Here is a 22126-nt window from a genome sequence, read left to right on the forward strand (position 1 = left end):
AGAACCCAGCAGCAGTGTTCTGGAATCCGATGTAAAGGACAAACATTCAGATGCCAGCAGCATTTTTCTGGAATCCTTTGTGAGGGACAAACATTCAGACCCCAGCAGCAGTGTTCTTGAATGTTATGTGAGGGACAAACATTCACACCACAGCTGGAGTGTTCTGGGATCCTATGTAAGGGAGAAGCATTCAGACACTCATAGCTGTTTTCTGGAATCCTATGTGATGGACAAACATTCAGACCCACGTAGCAGTGTTCCAGAATCCTACGTAAGGGAAAAACATTCAGACCCCAGCATCAGCGTTCTGGATTTCTATGTGAGGGACAAACATTCAGACCCCAGCAGCAGTGTTCTGGGATCTCATGTGAGGGACAAACATTCATAGCATCGTACACGTGTTCTGGAATCCTATGTGAGGGACAAACACTGAGATCCCAGCAGCAGTGTTCTGGAATCCAATGTGAGGGACAAATATTCAGACCCCAGCAGTAGTGTTCTGGAATCCTATGTGAGGGACAAACATTCAGATCCCAACAGCAGTGTTCTGAAATCCTATGTGAGGGACAAACATTCAGAGCATCGTAGCCATGTTCTGGAATCCTATGTGAGGGACAAACACTGAGATCCCAGCAGCAGTGTTCTGGAATCCTATGTGAGGGGCAAACATTCAGACCACAGCAGGAGTATTGTGTAATCCTATGTGAGGGACAAACATTCAGACCACAGCAGGAGTGTTCTGGAATTTTATGTGAGGGACAAACATTCAGACCACAGCAGGAGTGTTCTGGAATCCTTTGTGTAAGACGAACATTCAGACCCTCATAGCAGTGTTCTGTAATCCTATGTGAGGGACAAATATTCAGACCCCAGAAGCAGTGTTCTGTAATCCTATGTGAGGGACAAACATTCAGACCCCAGAAGCAGTGTTCTGGAATCCTATGTGAGGGACAGACACTGAGAACGTAGCAGCAGTGTTCTGGAATCTTGTGTGATGGACAAACATTCAGACCACAGCAGGAGTGTTCTGGAGTCCTTTGTGAGGGAGAAACAATCAGGCCACAGCAGGAGTGTTCTGATATCCTATGAGAGGGGCAAACATTCAGACCCTCCTAGCAGTGTTCTGGAATCCTGTGTGAGGGACAGACACTCAGAACCTAGCAGCAGTGTTCTGGAATCCTATGTGGAGGACAAACATTCATACCACAGGAGAAGTGTTCTTTAATCCTATATGAGGGACAAATATTCAGACCCTCATAGCACTGTTCTGGAATCCTATGTGAGGAACAAACCTTCAGAACACAGCAGCAGAGTTGTGGAGTCCTATGTGAGGGACAAACACTCAGAACCCAGCAGTAGTGTTCTGGAATCCTCTGTGAGGGACAAACATTCTGACCCTTGTAGCAGTGTTTGGGAATCCTATGTGAGGGACAAACGCTCAGAAACCCCCAGCAGTGTTGTGGAATCCTGTGTGAGGGACAAACATTGATATCACAGGAGGTGTGTCCTGGAATCCTTTGTGAGATTCAGACCACAGCAGCAGTGTTCTGGAATCTTATGTAAGGAACAAACTTTCACACCATAGTAGGAGTGTTCTGGATTCCTATGTGCTGGACAAACATTCAGACCATAGCAGGAGTGTTTTGGAATCCTCTGTGAGGAACAATCATTCAGACCACAGCAGGAATGTTCTGGAATCCTTTGTGAGGGACAAACAATCAGACCACAGCAGGAGTGTTCTGAAAACCTATGTGAGGTACAAACATTCAGACCCTCGTAGCAGAGTTCTGGAATCCTGTGTGATAGACAACTATTCAGACCCAGCAGCAGTGTTCTGGATTTCTGCATGAGGGACAAACATTTAGAGCCATGTAGCAGTGTTCTGGAATCGTACGTGAGGGACAAACACTCAGAACCCAAAAGCAGTGTTCTGGAATCCAAAGTGAGGGATAAATATTCAGTCCACAGCAGGAGTGTTCTGGAATACTATGTGAGGCGCAAACATTCAGACCACAGCACGATTATTCTGGAATCCTATGTGAGGGACAAACATTCAGATTCCAGCAGCAGTGTTCTGGAGTCCTAGTGAGGGACAATCATTCAGACCCTCGTAGCAGTGTTCTGGAATCCTAAGTGAGGGGAAATAAAACCCAGCAGCAGTGTTTTGGAATCCTATGTGAGGGACTAACATTCAGACCACAGCAAGAATGTTCTGGAATCCTATTTGAGGGACAGATATTCAGACCCTCGTAGCAGTGTTCTGGAATCCTATGTGAGGAACAAATATTCAGACCACAGCAGCAGTTTTGTGGAGTCCTATGTGAGGGACAAACACTCAGAACCCTGCAGTAGTGTTCTGGAATCCTACGTGAGTGGTAAACATTCAGACCACTGCAGGAGTGTTCTTTAATCCTTTGTGAGGAACAAACATTCAGTCCACAGCAGCAGTGTTCTGGAATCCTATGTGTGGGCAAACACTAAGAACCCAGCAGCAGTGTTCCAGAATCCTATGTGAGGGACAAACAATCAGACCCTCTTAGCAGTGTTCCTGAATTCTATGTGAGAGAGAGACACTTGCAACCCAGCAGCAGTGTTCTGGACTCCTATGTGAGGGTCAAACATTTAGACCACACTAGCAGTGTTCTGTAATCCTATGTGAGGGAAAAACATTCAGACCACAGCAGGAGTGGCCTGGAATCCTATGTGAGGGAGAAACATTCAAACCCTCCTAGCAGTATTCTGGAATCCTATGTGAGGGACAAACTTTCAGACCCCAGCAATTGTGTTCTGGAATCCTATGTGAAGGAGAAATGTTCAGACCACAGCATCAGTGTTCTGGAATCTTAAATGAGGAACAAACATTCAGACCACAGCAGGAGTGTTCTGGAATCCTATGTGAGGGACAAACACTCTGACCACAGCAGGAGTGTTCAGGAATCCTACGTAAGGGACAAACATTCAGATCCCATCTGCAGTGTTCTGGAATCCTATGTGAGGGACAAACATTCAGACCACAGCAGGAGTGTTCTGTAATCCTATGTGAGGGGGAAACATTCACACCCTCGCCACGGTGTTCTGGAATGCTATGTGGGGGACAAACCATTCAGACCCTCGTAGCAGTGTTTTGGAATCCTATGTCAGGGACAATCACTCAGACCATAGCAGCAGTGTTCTGGAATGCTATGTGAGGCACAAGCAGACCACAGCAGCAGTGTTCTGGAATCTTATGTGAGGGCAAACAGACCCCTGCAAACAGGGATAATTTGACCTCCTCTTTTCCTAATTGAATACCCTTTATTTCTTTCTCCTGCCTCATAGCCCTGGCCAGAACTTCCAACACTACGTTGAATAGGAGTGATGGGAAAGGGCATCCCTATCTTGTGCCTGTTTTCAAAGGCAATGCTTCCAGTTTTTGCCCATTCAGTATGATAATGTCTGAGTGTTTGTCATGAATAGCTCTTATTATTTTTACATACATCCCATCAATACCTAATTCATTGAGAGTTTTTAGCATGAAGGGCTGTTGAATTTTGTCAAAGGCCTTTTCTGCCTGTGTTGAGATAATCATGTGGTTTTTGTCTTTGGTTCTGTTTGCATGCTGGATTACGTTTATTGATTTGCATATATTGAACCAGCTTTGCATCCCAGGGATGAAGCCATCTTGATCATGGTGGATAAGCTTTTTGATGTGCTGCTGGATTCAGTTTGCCAGTACTTTATTGAGGATTTTTGCATCAATGTTCATCAGGGATATTGGTCTTAAATTCTTTTTTGGTTATGTCTTATCCAGGCTTTGGTATCAGGATGATGCTGGCCTCATAAAATGAGTTAGGGAGGATTCCCTCTTTTTCTCTTGATTGGAAGAGTTTCAGAAGGAATGGCAACTTCTCCTCCTTGTACCTCTGGTAGAATTAGGCTGTGATTCCCTCTTGTCCTGGACTTTTTATGGTTGGTATGCTATTATTGCCTCAATTTCAGAGCCTGTTATTGGTCTATTAAGAGATTCAACTTCTTCCTGGTTTAGTCTTGGGAGGGTTTATGTATTGAGGAATTTATCCATTTCTTCTAGATTTTCTAGTTTATTTGCATAGAGGTGTTTACGGTATTCTCTGATGGTAGTTTGCATTTCTGTGGGATTGGTGGTGCTATCCCCTTTATCATTTTTTAATGTGTCTATTTGATTCTTCTCTCTTTTCTTCTTTATTAGTCTTGCTAGTGGTCTATCAATTTTGTTGATCTTTTCAAAAAACCAGCTCCTGGATTCATTGATTCTTTGAAGGGTTTTTTGTCTCTATCTCCTTCAGTTGTGCTCTGATCTTAGTCATTTCTTGGAAGTCAAATTGTCCCTGTTTGCAGATGACATGTTTGTATATCTAGAAAACACCATCATCTCAGCCCAAAATCTCCTTAAGCTGGTAAGCAACTTCAGTGAGGTCTCAGGATACAAAATCAATGTGCAAAAATCACAAGCATTCTTATACAGCAATAACAGGCAAACTGAGAGCCAAATCATGAATGAACTCCCATTCACAGTTGCTTCAAAGAGAATAAATTACCTAGGAATCCAACTTACAAGGGACGTGAAGGAGCTCTTCAAGGAGAACTACAAAACACTGCTCAACAAAATAAAAGAGGACACAAACCAATGGAAGAGCATTCCATGCTTATGGATAGGAAGAATCAATATCGTGAAAATGTCCATACTGCCCAAGGTAATTTATAGATTCAATACCATCCCCATGAAGCTAACAATGATTTTCTTCACAGAATTGAAAAAAACCACTTTAAAGTTCATATGGAACCAAAAAAGAGCCCACATGGCCAAGTCAATCCTAAGCTAAAAGAACAAAGCTGGAGGCATCACGCTACCTGACTTCAAACTATACTACAAGACTACAGTAACCAAAGCAGCAAGGTACTGGTACCAAAACAGAGATATAGAGCAATGGAACAGAACAGAGCCCTCAGAAATAATACCACACATCTACAACTATCTGATCTTTGACAAACCTGACAAAAGAAATTGGGAAAGGATTCCCTATTTAACAAATGGTGCTGGGAAAACTGGCTAGACATATGTAGAAAGCTGAAACTGGATCCCTTCCTTACACCTTATACAAAAATTAATTCAAGATGGATTAAAGACTTAAATGTTAGACCTAAAACCATGAAAACCCGAGAAGAAAACCTAGGCAATACCATTCAGGACATAAGCATGGGCAAGGACTTCATGTCTTAAACAACAAAAGCAATGGCAACAAAAGCCAAAATTGACAAATGAGATCTAATTAAACTAAAGAGCTTCTGTGCAGCAAAAGGCATACCAGTGAACAGGCAACCTACAGAATGGGAGAAAATTTTTGCAATCTACTCATCTGACAAAGGGCTAATATCCAGAATCTACAAAGAACTCAAACAAATTTACAAGAAAAAACCCCATCAACAAGTGGGCGAAGGATATGAGCGGACACTTCTCAAAAGAAGACATTTATGCAGCCAACAGACACATGAAAAAATGATCATCATCACTCGCCATCAGAGAAATGCAAATCAAAATCACAATGAGATATCATCTCACACTAGTTAGAATGGCGATCATTTAAAAGTCAGAAAACAACATGTGCTAGAAAGGATGTGGAGAAATAGGAACACTTTTACACTGTTGGTGGGACTGTAAAGTAGTTCAACGATTGTGGAAGACAGTGTGGTGTTTCCTCAGGGATCTAGAGCTAGAAATACCGTTTGACCCAGCCGTCCAATTACTGGACATATACCCAACAGAATATAAGTCATGCTGCTATAAAGACACATGCACACGTATGTTTATTGTGACGTTACTCACAATAGCAAAGACTTGGAACCAACTGTAATATCCAAATGTCCAACAATGATAGACTGGATTAAGAAAATGTGGCACATATATGCCAGGGAATACTATGCAGCCTTAAAAAATGATGAGTTCATGTCCTTTGTAGGGACATTGATGAAGCTGGAAATCATCATTCTCAGCAAACTATCACAAGGACAAAAAAACAAACACCACATGTTCTCACTCATAGGCGGGAATTGAACAATGAGAACACATAGACACAGGAAGGGGAACATCACACACCATGGCCTGTTGTGGGGTAGGGGGAGGGGGGATAGCATTAGGAGATATACCTAAGGTAAATGACGAGTTACTGGGTGCAGCACACCAACATGGCACATGTATGCAAACATAACAAACCTGCACGTTGTGCACATGTATCCGAGAACTTAAAGTATAATAAATATATATATATATAAATAATTCAATACGGAAAATATAATTAAAAAAAGAAAGAAAATGTGGTATACTATTTGGCAGTAAATAAAGAAAACCCTGTCGTTTGTAAACAACATGGATGAACCTGGAGGGCAATATGTTAAGTGAAATAGGGCAGACACAAAAAGACAAATATATCATGACATGACTTCTACTGGTATGTTAAAAAGTTGATCTCATAGAATTACAAAGTACACTGGTGGGTATCAGAGCTAGGGGTAAAGGGGAGTTGCGGTGATGTTAATCAGAGGATACATACTTAGAGTTACACAGAAGGAATACATTTCAGGAGATGTATTGTAGAGCAAGGTGATTGTAATTGATGATGACACATTGTATTCTTGAGAAATAGAAAGTTAATATTATGTGTATTCATCACAAAAATGATAACTATGTGAGTTGATGTATTTGTTAAATAGCTAGATTTGACCTTTTCACAATGTATGCATACTTTGTCCTTCACATAGGATTCCAGAACGCTACTGCATTGGTCTGAATGTTTGTCCCTCACATTTTACATTACAAAAAACTTGCAATGTCTTATTAAAAATATTAATTAAAAATAAATATTAATAAAGTAATTTTAAATAGACAAAAAGTAAAAGAAAAAAAAAGACCACAGCAGCAGTGTTCTGGAATCCTGTGTGGGGGACAAACATTCAGAAGCCAGTAGCAGTGTTCTGGGATCCCATGTGATGGACAAACATTCAGACATTCCCAGCAGTGTTCTGGAATCCTATGTGTGGGACAAACACCCAGACCCCAGCAGCAGTGTTCTGGAATCCTATGTGAGGTACAAGCATTCAGACCCTGGAATCAGTGTTCTGGAATCCTATGTGAGGGAAAAACTTTCAGAACACAGCAGCCATGTTCTGGAGTCCTATATGACGGACATTCAGACCCTCATAGCAGTGTTCTGGAGTCTTATGTGAGGGACACGCATTCAGACCACATCAGGAGGGTTCTGGAATCCTATGTGAGGGACAAATAATCAGACCCTCATAGCAGTGTTCTGGAATCTTATGTGAGGGACAAACATTCAGACCCCAGCAGCAGTGTTCTGGAATCCTATGTGAGGGACAATCATCCAGATCATTGCGTTAGTGTTCTGGAATTCTAAGTGAGGGAAAAACATTCATAACCCAGCAGCAGTGTTTTGAAATGCTATGTGAGGGACAAACATTCAGACCCCAGCAGCAGTGTTCTGAAATCCTACGTGAGGGAGAAACATTCAGATCATTGCATTAGTGTTCTGCAATCCTATGTGAGGGACTAACACTCAGACCCCGGGAGCAGTGTTCTGGAATCTTATGTGAGGGCAAACATTCAGACCCCAGCAGCAGTGTTCTGGAATCCTATGTGAGGGACAAACATTCAGACCATGGCAGCAGTGTTCTAGAATCCTATGTAACGGACAAACATTCATAATCTCGTAGCAGTGTTCTGGAATCCTATGTGAGGGACAGACTTTTAGACCCTCACAACAATGTTCTGGAATCCTATGTGAGGGAGAAACATTCAGACCCTCGCAGCAGTGTTCTGGAGATCTATGTGAGGGACAAACATTCAGACCCCAGCAGCAGTGTTCTGGAATCCTATGTGAGGGACAAACATTCAGACCACGACAGCAGTGTTCTGGAGTCCTATGTAACGGACAAATATTCAGAACCTCATAGCAGTGATCTGGAATCCTATGTGAGGGACAAACTTTCAGACCCCAGCAGCAGTGTTATGGAATCTTATGTGAGGGACAAACATTCTGACCCTCTTATCAGTGTTCTGGTATTCTACGTGAGGGACAGACATTCAGACCCCAGCATCAGTGTTCTGGAATCCTGTGTGAGGGACAAACATTCAGACCCCAGGAGCAGTGTTCTGAAATCCTAGGTTAAGGATAAACATTCAGACCCCAGGAGCAGTGTTCTGAAATCCTAGGTTAAGGATAAACATTCAGACCCCAGCATCAATGTTATGGAATCCTTTATAAGGGACAAACATTCAGACCTTCATAGCAGTGTTCTGGAATCTTATGTAAGGGAGAAACATTCAGACCTCAGGAGCAGCGTTTTGGTACCATATGTGAGGGACAAACACGCAGGCCCCAGCAGCCGTGTTCTGGAATGCTATGATTGGGTTTATACTGTGAACCTCAGAAGTGTTCCTCTGTTTAATTAATTTTCCACCTTAGGTGGAACATGACTAGAATGGGCTACAGTGGAAGGGGTAATTTCCTTCCCCTATGTTATTTAGTCTCTGATTATACTAGAGCAGATTAGGCTGAAGTTAAGTAGTTTCTCCTGTGGACAAGCCTTGTTAAGAACTTGGTGCTCTGGCATATTTCAAACTGGTTTTCCTTTTTCCTTCTGAAAGATTGAAGCAGGAGTGGAGTTTCCTCAGGTATTTGTCACAGGAGCCTGGTGAAGCTCCATGAGACAATTTTACAGTATTGTTCCCCCTCCCCAACAGTAACTCTATCTCTTGTAGTTTTTACCACTTAGAGTTGTCCACGCAGATCCTCCAGCCGTTCACCAGTTACGGTTTGAGATTTTCTACTCCAGCACTGGTTCCAAGGTTGGTTTCAGTAGTGAGTCCATGTTCCTTTAAGCCATTAAGTACTATATTCACTTCTTTGTCTCTGCAATCCTAGGGGCAGTGGTTTGCCCTGTGTCCTCCCCTAAGTTTGAAATCTAGAAAGAATTGTTGATTTTTTAGTCTCTTCAGCTTTTTATTTGTTAAGATTAATTGTGTCATATTAATTTGTTGTTAAGCTTGTTATAAAAATTAATTATTGTAAAGTAATTATTGATTACTTCCAAGCTTCTTACATGCAGAAATAGGAACCTGGAATATGTTTCTAAAACTATCTTCTCAATGCCTATGTGCACAGTTAAATGATTTTTTTCCACAGGAATATGATCAAGATGAATTATATTAGACTTCTAAATATTGAACTTTTCTTTATTCGTGGAATAAACTCAGAAAGTTCCTTCTTGGTCTTCACAGTCTATTTCTCTTCCAGTGTAAATGTTAGTGTTTCTGTAGATTCTGTACTTGTTTCTTTTATTCTTTCCTTCTCTTATTTTCATTTGGTCTGATGGATTCAGGTAGCATTGAAATTCTGGTAATTTCCAAATCTTTATCTTTAGTTTGATCTCTCTTCTGAACCACTGGAGCTATATTCCCAATTGCCAGTTGAACATTCCCACATATGGAACGTCAGATGTTTCACACATGATATGTCCAGGTCTGTGTCACTTCTGGTTATCACATTCTTTTATTTTTTTTGCAAATTTCACTTCACAGCACCAGTACCAAACTAGCTGGATCAGGGCAGATAACTTGGAAACAAAACTCCCGTTTTTACCCACTGCACAGTAAATTGGTACCAAATCCTGTTTCTACATTTTTTTCCTTTTAAGAACTGCTTCCCTATTGTGTATACTTACACTCCGTGTCCTGATGTACTGATGTAGGTGGTCATCTGTCTTCTTCTTTACTCCCTTCTGGCTTTCCCTTAAGCCCTTTCCCATTCTCTTTCTCAGGGATGGCTGTTAAAATGCCAATATGGTCATGTAACTTTTCTGTCCTTACTGGGCCTCCTTATTTACACCTGTTTTTGAAGTGGCTGTGTTCACACTGGGTGGATACAGCAATTTTTTGTCCCGTAGAAAGGAAATTTTGAAATGCCAGTGTATATGATTTTAATTAAGTATACTCACCCTTTTGTTTCCATGGGTTTTGCATCTGCAGATTCAGCCAACTTCAGATTGAAAATATTCCCACAAAAATAGATGGTTGTCTCTGTGCAGAGCATCTACAGAAATTTTTCTTGTCATTATTTCCTAAACAGTACAGTATAACAGCTATTTATGTAGCATTATATTGTCTTCAGTATTATATGTAATCTAAAGATTTTAAGTTCAGTCGTGCATGGCTTACTGATGGGATTACTTTCTGAGAAATGCAACCTTAGGTAATTTCATTGTTTTGTGAACATCATAGTGTTACAAAAACCTACATGGTATGTATATTTTTATTTATATGTTTTTGGTATATGGGTAACCAGATGGCTCAGAGCCATTATTGAATATCATTTTCTGCACTTCATCTGCAATGCCAATATCAGGTTTCCGTGTATGTTTCATCATCATCTTATGGGACTACTGTGATAGACATGTTTCATCATTGACTGAAATGTTATTATGCAGCTCATGACTGTATACAGGAGTATGTGCATAAGTTATATGTAAATATGAGACTTGTTTATATAACAGAGTTATCCAATCTGTGGATTTTGGTATCTGGGGGTATCTTGGAATCAGTCCCCATGGATACTGAGGAAGTAATGTAATGTAAAAATGATAGGTGCATAAAAATTTTTGAAATTAAGTCAAATATTTAAATGCAGAATCATTGCATAATCAATTCCTTAAATATTGCATTTAGCTTTCATCACTGCCCAGGATCATTCATCTAGGCATGGTGCTGTCCAGAGTTCCATTAAAGTGGTGTGTGTTCGCTTTGCCTTTGTCAGTAGACTTCTGATATTTTCTCATAGTCATGAGAATTCATGGTTCATGTGGAAGAGCCAATCACCTGATTTTTCAGTAAAGTGGAATCTCTTGATTCAAAATAAACAAAATTTATTTTCTCCTTCTCTCTTATCTTAGTCTGCATTGAACTTGTGTCTCAATGAGTTCACCTAAACATTATTCCCAGTATGTGTTTATACTTATATGTTCATAACCAGATCATGAGCTCCTTTGAGGAGTAGAATTTTATTCCTCTTTTTTTTTGAGAGATAGGCTCTCTGTTGGCCAGGCTGGAGTGCAGTGGTGTGATCATCACTCACTGCACTGTCAAACTCCTGGGTTTGAGCAATCCTTCAGCCTCAGCTTCCAGAGTAGCCAGGACTACAGGCATCCAGCATTATGCCTATATTTTTTTATTATTTTTGAAGAGAGAGGGTCTTGCATTTTGTTTATACTTTTATCCCTAGCAACAAGGGTGGTTCTAGATCTATAAGGTGAACTTTGTAATATAATTTTATTAATTCATAAGTTATTACAGTGGAAGCATATTTCTACTGTGATTACTCCTTCTCCCACCATAAACAGTACAAAACAAACTACGTCTTATATAAAATACATATAAGACACATGGACACACAAAAGAGTGAATTCCCAGATTCTTGTTCTTTTGACCCTGGGCTGATGCTTTGACTTGAGGAAATATGTGCCATTACAGGGGTTGGTGTCCTTTGAAGATGTGGCTCTGCACTTCACCTGGGAGGAGTGTCAGGGCCTGGATGATGCTCAGAGGACCCTCTACAGGGACGTGATTGTGGAGACCTACAGCAGCCTGGTATCATTGGGTGAGTGAAACTTCCCAGTAACTCCCAGGAATGTGTATTGTTGTTGGTAAATATAGAAACCCTTTTAAGGTATAATAATATTTACTTGTAAGATTCTGGTTGATGAAAAATGTGTCATTATTCTAATGAAATGTTCAAATTGGCTCCTTCATTACACAGTCCCTGAAGCCCAGCTCTTGTCATTCTGAAAAGGATTTGACTTAGTGGTTTGACAAAGTATTCCATTGTTTCTCGTTACCAGGGCATTGCATTACCAAACCTGAGATGATCTTCAAGCTAGAGCAAGGAGCAGAGACATGGATAGTAGAAGAAATACCAAACCTGAGACTTTCAGGTCAGTCAGTGAATACAGGGTTGGGAGGCCTGGAGGAGTAATGCCCAGCAGATTTTGGTAGTGTTATCTTGTTTTCACCACTTTTTTCCCTAGGTCTTCGACCTGAAGACTGTTAGTCTGCATTAAATGTCCATTATATAGTCCCCAGGGGTAACTGTCATGCATATATCCCAGTCTCTTATTTTTCTGAGTATCTTCTTCTATTTACCCCAAATCCAATCCCTGCCATCCTCTCTTTAAGCCTTTTTCTTTGCTATTTATTTTCTCTATTTCCCCCTTTTCCTCTATTCTGATGTAGTGTCTTAAAAAAATTTTTTAGACATTTATGCATTTATTTATCCTTTGAATGTATCTTAAGCAATTTTTGAGAATCAGTCATTATAACAATGATGATGAAAATAGTGTTTCTTTTTTAAGCTGTAGCTTTATTCTTCTTGTTTTATTTTTTATTAAACAGATGGTTCTCACTCTGTTTCTCAGACTCAAGTGCAGTGGCATGATTATAGTTGACTGTAACGATGAACTCCTGGGATCAAGTGTTCCTCACAGCCTAGCCTCCCAAGTAGCTAGGACTACAGGTGTGTGCCACCACACCTGGCTAATTTTTTATTGTTTGTGGAGATGAGGTCTTGTTCTATTGCCCAGACTGGTCTCGAACTTCTGGCCTTAATTGATCCTTGTAGACTCCCACCTACACACACACACACAAAATAGTAGCTGAGTATGGTGACATGGGTTTTTAATCCCAGTTTTTATACTTGGGAGGCTGAGGTGGAAGGATTGCTTGAGCTCAGGAGCTTGAAGCTTCAGTGACCTATGATAGCAACACTGCACTCCAGCCTGGGTAACAGAGTAAGATCCTGTCTCAGAAAGAAATTATGAAGCTGAGGAGAACCCATCATGGGGCTTGGATAGGGGTGGTGCTGGACTTGGGAGGAGAACCAGAAGATTCTGGGTCTCAAGTCCAAAGAAACCAATGATTTCCTGTTGAAGGGCTCAGATTTCTGTTTGAGAGTGGAGTTTGTAGTTACCATTTGAAGATGAGAAATGTACAGGAAACTTCATTTTTATATATAGCTGTGTGACATCTGAAACTCCAAAACACAAAATAAAACCCTTCAAAAATGGTGAATTATCAAGCAGGGGTGTGTGAGTGGAGAGGGACAGAGCTGTTGATCTCAGAAGGAACCAGAAATACACTTTTCAAAGATGACGGGCACAGCCTGAGTTGCAGAACCAATCCTTCAGATCACTAGTGTGGTTTTTTGACTGGAGCTTCTTTGCCTATTATGGTTCTGGGAAGCAGGAGATGCCATGTTTAAGTAGGAATTTGCCAGGATCTGTTTTTGTTTAACATGGGGAATAAGATATTTTCTGCTTGGAAAACCTCCAGACACATTTAACCATTCTCAGGGAGGAGTGAAAAGTTAACATATAGGCAAAATCCTGTCTACAAGCTACTTCCATGCTTAGGAGACAGAAAAATGGCCATCTCCTGTACCTGCCAGTTGCTGACCCAAGAAAAACTGGCTATCTTCAAAGAAGAATGATGAAAAAATAGCAACTATTAAAACAGCCACTATTGTTATATGAATAAATAGAAAAAAAGAGAGAAAACAAATGACAGATAATGAGCACTTATTAAAACCTATGAGTAGGAAGTAGATGCATATTATTACCAAATAATTCTTTGTGAAATAAAAAAGAAAAGGAAAACTTCAAAATGCAAAGAAAAACTCAATTGAACATTAGAAAATATACTGATTTATTACATGATGTCAGAAGGAACAGGAACCATATGCATATAAAACCAATACCCATTATTAATTTTTATCAAATCTTACTCCACTGGGATAGAAAGTAATTTTTTTCACCTTTACACAAGCATTCTGTAAGACATGCTCCTGTGTGGTTCATGGATACGTTTTTCTCATTTCAGCTGTCCAGATCACTGATGACCTTATTGAAAGGAGCCATGAAAGTCATGATAGATTTTTCTGGCAAATTGTAATCACCAACAGCAAGACATCAACTCAGGAGAGAGTTGAATTAGGAAAAAGATTTAATTTTAACTCAAACCATGTTTTAAATCTGATTATAAATAATGGAAACAGTTCAGGAGTGAAGCCTGGGCAGTTTAATGTTTGCCAGAACGTGCTTTTACCTATTAAGCCTGGTGAGACACAGTCTAGAGAGAAACCTCATATCCCTGATATAACCAGGAGATCCCACAGACATCATGAACATCTTACTCAGCATCACAAGATTCAAACTCTGCTGCAGCCTTTTCAATGTAATGAACAAGGGAAAACCTTCAACATGGAGGCAATGTTCTTTATACATAAGAGGGTTCATATAGGACAGACCTTTGGTAAATATAATGAATATGAGAAAGCCTGTAATAACTCAGCTATTATTGTCCAAGGGATAACTCAGGTAAGACAGCCAACTTGCTGTAGAAAGTCTGACTTCAGTAAACATCAGCAAACACACACAGGAGAGAAACCCCATGAATGTGTTGAATGTGAGAAACCCTCCATTAGCAAATCAGACCTCATGATACAGCACAAGATGCCTACTGAGGAAAAACCTTATGCCTGTAACTGGTGTGAAAAATTGTTCAGCTATAAGTCCAGCCTCACTATCCATCAGAGAATTCACACAGGGGAAAAGCCCTATGGATGCAATGAATGTGGAAAAACCGTTCGCTGTAAGTCATTCCTCACTTTACATCAGAGAACTCACACTGGGGATAAGCCCTACAAATGTATTGAATGTGGAAAAACTTCACTGTAAATCACTTCTCACTTTACATCACAGAACTCACTCAGGGGAAAAGCCCTATCAGTGTAGTGAATGTGGAAAAACCTTTAGCCAGAAGTCATACCTCACAATACATCATAGAACTCACACCTGGCAAAAGCCCTATGCATGTGACCATTGTGAAAAAGCATTTAACCATAAGTCAAAGCTTACTGTCCATCAGAGAACACACACAGGGGAAAAGCCCTATGAATGTAATGAGTGTAGAAAACCCTTTATCAATAAGTCAAACCTCAGGATACATCAGAGAACTCACATTAGAAAAACCCTATGAATGCAATGAATGTGGGAAAACGTTTCACCAAAAGTCGTTCCTCACTGTCCATCAAAGGACTCACAAAGGCGAAAAACCCTACGAATGCAACGAACGTGGGAAAACCTTTCACCATATGTCATTCCTCACTGTCCATCAGAGAACTCATACTGGGGAAAAAACATATGCATGTAACAAATGTGGAAAAACGTATAGCCACAAGTCATAACTTACAGTACCTCACAGAACTCACACAGGGGAAAAACCCTATGAAAGTAATGAATGTGGAAAATCCTTTTACTGTAAGTTATAAGTCATTTCTAACTATACATCAGAGAACTCATGCTAGCAAAAAACCCTATGAATGTAATGAATGTGAGAAAACCTTTATCAATAAGTTAAACCTTGGGATACACAAGAGAACTCACACAGGGGAAAGACTCAATTAATGTAATGAATGTGGGAAAACCGTTCGTCAGAAGTCAAATCTCAGCACACATCAGGGAACTCACACAGGGGAGAAACCTTACGTATGAAATGAATGTGGAAAAACCTTTCATCGCAAGTCATTCCTCACCGTACACCAGAGAACTCACACAGGGGAGAAACAGTATGGATGTAACCAATGTGGAAAAACTTTTTGTCAGAAATCATACCTTATTATACATCAGAGAACACACACTGGGGAAAAGCCCTATGAATGTAATGAATGTGGAAAATCCTTTCATCAGAAGGCAAATCTTCGGAAGCATCCAGATATTCACACAGGGGAGAAACCCTATGAATGTAGCGAATGTGGAAAAACCTTCAGTCAGAAGTCAGTCCTCACTGTCCATCATAGAACCCATACTGGAGAAAAGCCTTACGAATGTAATGAGTGTGTGAAAACCTTTTGTCACAAGTCAAACCTCAATATGCATCAGGGAATTCACTCAAGAGAGAAACCCTGTGAATGTGATGAATGTAGGAAAACTTTTTACCATAAGGCAGTTCTCACCATACATCAGAGAATTCACACAGGTGAGAAGACATTTGAATGTAAGAAAACCTTCTCCCAGGAGTCAAAACCCTTTGTACAGCACAGAACTCACACAGAGGAAAAACCCTTTAGATGTAATGAATGTAGGAAAATTTTCTCCCAGAAGTCAGGCCTCAGTATACATCAGAGAACACACACAGGAGAAAAACCTTATGAATGTAAGGAATGTGGGAAAACCTTTTGCCAGAAGTCACACCTCAGCAGGCATCAACAAACCCATATAGGAGAGAAATCTGATGTAGCTGAGGCAGGCTATGCATTCCCTCAAAATCACTTTTTTTTTCCCTTGAACACACAATGTACACCTCTCTGGCTACTATTATAGATTTCTCCATGCTCAGTCTAGGAGAATATGGACAAAAATGGTGACCATTACTTCCTGGCCTACCAACAAGAAGGTCTTAACAATGCTGTAACAGAAGTGCTATCATGCAGGCTTTCTTGTTCCCATTTTTACAGCACACTTCGCACTTTAATGTCACAGATATGGCTGTTTTCCTAGAAGTTCATGTACCAACCTCTGCCAGCTTCAAACATTTCTTCTGAAACTTCCTCACCTCTGTTCTCCTCCATAGAATTGAAGAGAGTTAGGGCCTTTCTCAGGATTAGGCTTTGTCTCAGGGGAATGTTGGGGCTGGTTTGATCTTCTATGCAGACCACTCAGACTTTCTCTGTGTCAGTAAAAAGGCTGTTTTGTTTTTTAAAAATCATTCATGTGTTCACTGGAGTAGCACCTATAACTTCCTTCAAGAACTTTTTCTTTGCATTCACAACTTGGGTAGCTCATGCAAGAAGCTTAGCTTTGGCCTGTCTTAGCTTCCAACATGCTTTCTTCACTAAGCTTGATAATTTGAAGTGACAGATGTGCACACTTCTTTTCACTTGAACACATGGTGGCCACTGCAGGGTGAAGTGGCCTAATTTCATTGTTGTATCTCGGGGAATGGGGGGCTGGAAGAGAGAAATGGAGATAGGGAAATGACTAGCCAATGAAGCAGTCAAACACAACACTTTTCCATCGTGTTTACTGTCTTCCATAGAGTTCCAGCACACTGAGACAATTCCAATAGTAACATCAGAAATCACTGATCACAGATCATCATAACGGATGTGATAACTAAAATGTTTGAAAGATTGTGGGGATTGCCAAAAGATGTGACACAGATGTGAAGTGAGCACACGGTGTTGGAAAAATGGTGCTGGTCAGACTTGCTGAGCACTTTGTGGCCACAAATCTTTAATTTGTTAAAAAGGTGATGTTGCCAAGCAAAATAAAGTGAAGCTCGATAAAGTGAGGTGTGCCTTTATTTTGATGGGCTTTAACAACTTGTCTTTTCATTGGTGCATTTAGACCATGACATTCAAAGTGATTATACAGTTGGGTTAATTTTGCCATATCATTTTCCATTCACTCCTATTGTTCTTTGTTCTTGCTTTGTCCTCCACTCTTTTTCTGCCTTTTATGGAGTTTATGATTTTATATGATTTTTATTTCCCCTCATTACTTTTTTTTTTAAATTGAGACAGCATTCACCCAGGCTGGAGTGCAGTCGTGTGGTCATGGCTCCCTGCAGACTCAACCTCGTGGGTTTAAGTGATCTTTCCACCTCAGCCTCCCAACTAGCTAGGACTACAAGTATGCAATTAACTAGGACTACAAGTATGCAATTAACTAGGACTACAAATATGCAATTAACTAGGACTACAAGTATGCAATTAACTAGGACTACAAGTATGCAATTAGGTAGGACTACAAGTAAGTCATTAGCTAAGACTACAAGTATGCAATTAGCTAGGACTACAAGTATGCACCACAATACCTGGCCTTTTCTGTAGGGACAGGGTCTCACTGTGTTGCTCAGGATAGTCTCTAACTCCTGGACTCAAGCCATCTTTCTACCTTGGCATAAGCCACTATACCTGGCCTGTTTCCTCTTTTTGGTATTTTTATACTTTGGTTTTTACTAGTTGCCCTGGAGTTTGCAGTATAGACTTGCAACAAATCCAAGTCCACCTTCAAATAACACTATACTAGTTCAGTTACTTTGACGGCCTTCTAATAGAAATGTAATACCAGCTTCTCTCATATTCCCATCTCTTGTGTTATTGTTGCTATTTGTTTCACTTATATGTAAGCATACATAGCCTTGTATATATTAAAGTATGTAATTGGCTGGGTACCTTGGCTCACGCCTGTAATCCCAACACTTTGGGAGGCTGAGGCAGGTGGACCATGAGGTCAGGAGATGGAGACCCTCCTTGCTAACACAGTGAAACCCCATCTCTACTAAAAATACAAAAATTAGCTGGACATGGTGGCACACGCATGTAGTCCCAGCTATTCAGGAGGCTGAGACAGGAGAATTGCTTGAACCAGGGAGGAGGTGGAGGTTGCAGTGAGCTGAGATTGCACCACTGCACTCCAGCCTGGGCGACAGAGCAAGACTCCGTCTGAAAAAAAAGTATATAATTGCATACATTGTTATTATATACAAACTGTTATATGTTAGGTGAATTAAGAATAAAAAGTAAGCAGCCGGATACGGTGGCTTATGCCTGTAATCCCAGCACTTTGGGAGGCCGAGGTGGGCAGATCACAAGGTCAGAAGACTGAGACCATCCTAGCTAACATGGTGAAATCCTGTGTTTACTAAAAACACGAAAACAAAATTAGCCAGGCGTGGTGGTGGGTGCCTGTAGTCCCAGCTACTCGGGAGGCTGAGGCAGGAGAATAGCATGAACCTAGAAGGCAGAGCTTGCAGTGAGCCAAGATCACACTACTGCACTTCAGCCTGGGTGACAGAATGAGACTCCATCTCAAAAAAAAAAAAAAAAGGGATTTTACCACCACTTATTCCTTCTCTAATGTTCTTTTTAAAATGTAAATTCAGGCGGGTGTAGTGGCTCACACCTGTAATCCCAGCACTTTGGGAGGTCGAGATGTGTGGATCACGAGGTTAGGAGTTCAAGACCAGCCTAGCAGAGATGGTGAAACACTGTCTCCAATAAAAATACAAAAAAAATAGCCAGGCGTGGTGGAGGGCTCCTGTAATCCCAGCTACTTGGGGGGCTGAGGCAGAGAATTGCTTGAACCTGGGAGGCTGAGGTTGCAGTGAGCCGAGATTGTGCCACTGCACTCCAGCCTGGGCAACAGAGCGAGACTCAGTCTCAAAATAAATAAATAAAAATAAATGAAATGTAGATTCAGTTTTCAGATGTGTATCTTTTTTTTGTCTAGATAATGTTTAACATATTCTCACATAACACATTTCCTGGTAACAAGTTTCCTCAACTTTTGTTTGTCCAAGGAATGCTTTATTTCTCATTTACTTTTGAAAGAAGATCTCACAGGGCACTGAAATCTAATTTGATTTTTTTTCTCTCAGCATGCTTAATATTTCATTCCACTCTCTTTACTTTCATGGTTCTGAGATGTTGAATGTAATTTTTTTTTTGAGGCGGAGTCTCACTCTGTCACCCAGGCTGGAGTGCAGTGGTGTAATCTCGGCTCACTGCAAGTTCTGCCTCCCAGGTTCACACCATTCTCCTGCCTCAGTCTCCCGAGTAGCTAGGACTACAGGCTCCTGCCACCACGCCTGGCTAATTTTTTGTATTTTTTGTGGAGATAGGGTTTCACCATGTTAGCCAGGATGGTCTCAATCTTCTGACCTCGTGATCCACCCAACTTGGCCTCCCACAGTACTGGGATTACAGGCATGAGCCACAAAGCCTGGCCTGAATGTGATTTTTGTTTGTTTGTCTACAGGTTTCTTTGTTTCTCTACCTTTGTTTCTTTGTTTCTCTACCTTTGTTTCTTTGTTTCTCTATAGGTAAGATGTTGTCCACTCCACCTTTGGTCTCTTTTGGAGTTGATGTTTTATACAGTTGGAGAATAATATGCCTAGGTGTAGGTTTTTAGCATGTACACTGTCTGGAGTGCTCTGAGCTTCCTGGATCTTTGATTTGGTGTCTGACATTAACAGTGGAAGTTGTCAAACATGATTGTTGCTGATGTTTCTTCTATTTCTCTCTCCTCCTTCTGGTATTCTCGTCACTCTATGTTACACCTTTTATAGCTGTCCCACTGTTCTTGGATATTATGTTCCATTGTTTTCAGTTTTTAAAGTTTCTTTCACAATTCCAGAGCTCACAGACTCTTTCCTTTGTTGTGTTCAGCCTACTAGTAAGCCAATCAAGGCAACAGGTCTGTTGCATTATTTTTTTATCTCTACTGTTTCTTTTTTGTTCTTTCCTTGGACTTCTGTCTCCCTGCTTACATTGCCTATCTGTTCTTGAATGCTGTCTCCTTTGTTCATCAGAGCCCTTAGCATACTACTTAGAGATATTTTTAAAAATCCCTGTCTGATAATTCCAGCATCATAGCTATGTCTTGTTCTGATGATCTGTCACTTCAAATTGTGATTTTTGCCTTTTAGTATGCCTTGTGCTTTTTCTTTACTCCTAGATATGAGATACCAGGTAAAAGGAACTACTGTAACAGTGCATCCTGTAATGATAAGAAGCTATAGAGGGGAGGGGAAGCTGTCTTAGTCCATCCACCAGCATAACTTAGAGCAAGTAATTTCTAAACAACAGAAATTTGTTGCTCAGTTTGGAAGCTAGAAAGTCCAAAGTCAAGGTTCCAAGAGATTCAGTGTTTGATGTGACTCATTCCTCATAGATGGTGCCAGCTATATGTCCTCTCATGTTGGAATGGACAAAGAAGCTTCCTTTGGCCTCTTTCATAAGTGCACTAATCCCAATCAGGATGGCTTTGCCATTACATTTCAAAGGCCCCACCCCTTAATTCTAGTGCATTGGAGACTTGGTTTCAACGGGCACATTTTGCAGGGGGTCGGGCAGGAAACAAATATTCAGACCATAGCAGAAGTGTTCTGGAGTCTTACGATTGGGCCTCATTGTTTAAGTGAGTCTCTGCTTTTGGACTATGAACTTCACATGTGTTTCTCTGTTTTTATCTTCCCCTTTAGGGATGAGTGTAGTAGGCTGGAGTTCGTTATTTCCCTTCCAGCAAGTCATTTAGGATCTGATTATATGAGAGCAAGTTAGGCTGAGGTTCAGTAATTTCTCCTGAGGACAAGCCTTGTTAAGAACAGGGTGCTCTGGCATATTTTAGGATGGTTTTCCTTTTTCCTTCCCAAAGGTGGAAGCAGGAAGCGAGTTTTCTCAGGTGTTTGCCACAGGAGCCTGGTGAAGCTCCAGGAGGTAAATTTTACAATATTATGCTCCCTCATACCTGGATATCCCTGGCGTTTTTACCTCCCTGTGTTGTCCATATGGAACCTTCAGCAATTCACCAGTTATTGTTCAAGATTTTCTACTCCAGCACTGGTTCCTAAGGTGGTTTCAGTAGTGAGTCTCTGTTCCTGTAAGCCATAAATTCCTATATTCACTTCTCTATGTCTCCAATCTTGGGGGCAGTGGCTTGCCCTATGTCCTCTCTTCACTTTCAAATCCAAAAAGGATTGTAGATTTTTCAGTCTCTTCAGCTTTTATTTGTTTTATTAAAAAAAAAAATTTTAGAGTTGGGGGTCTCACTATGTTGCCCAGGCTGGTCTCAAACTCCTAGACTCAAGGGAACCTCCTGCTTTGGCCTCCCAAAGTGCTGGGATGATAGGCATGAGCCACCACACCTGACCTTTTCAGCTTTTCATGTGTTAAGATGGACTGATTACTTCCATTCTTTTTTTTTTTCCTTTTTTTGAGATGGAGTCTCACCTTGTTGCTCAGGCTGGAGTGCAGTCGTGCAATCTCAGTTCACTGCAACATCTGGCTCCCAGGTTCAAGTGATTCTCCCTGCCTCAGCCTCCTGAGTAGCTGGGATTACAGGCACCTACCACCATGCTGGCTAATTTTTGTATTATTATTATTTTATTTTTTAATTTTTTGAGGCAGAGCTCACTCTGTCACCCAGGCTGTAGTACAGTGGCTTGATCTTGGCTTACTGCAACCTCCACCTCCCAGGTTTAAGCAAT

General features: G+C 40.8%; 1 protein-coding gene across 1 annotated transcript; it reads left to right on the plus strand.

Moving 5' to 3' along the window:
• Positions 1 to 10634: 10634 nt before the first annotated feature.
• On the plus strand, positions 10635 to 21353 carry LOC105379522 (zinc finger protein 717-like; the record flags this gene model as incomplete). The annotated part of the gene is made up of 4 exons (XM_047442795.1): positions 10635 to 10649; positions 11555 to 11681; positions 11923 to 12015; positions 21295 to 21353. Coding segments are annotated over exons 1-4 (294 nt in total), but the record flags the coding sequence as incomplete, so codon positions are not given.
• Positions 21354 to 22126: the final 773 nt, after the last annotated feature.

This window comes from Homo sapiens (genome assembly GCF_000001405.40).
Source record: "Homo sapiens chromosome 1 unlocalized genomic scaffold, GRCh38.p14 Primary Assembly HSCHR1_CTG3_UNLOCALIZED".
Classification (NCBI taxonomy): domain Eukaryota; kingdom Metazoa; phylum Chordata; class Mammalia; order Primates; family Hominidae; genus Homo; species Homo sapiens.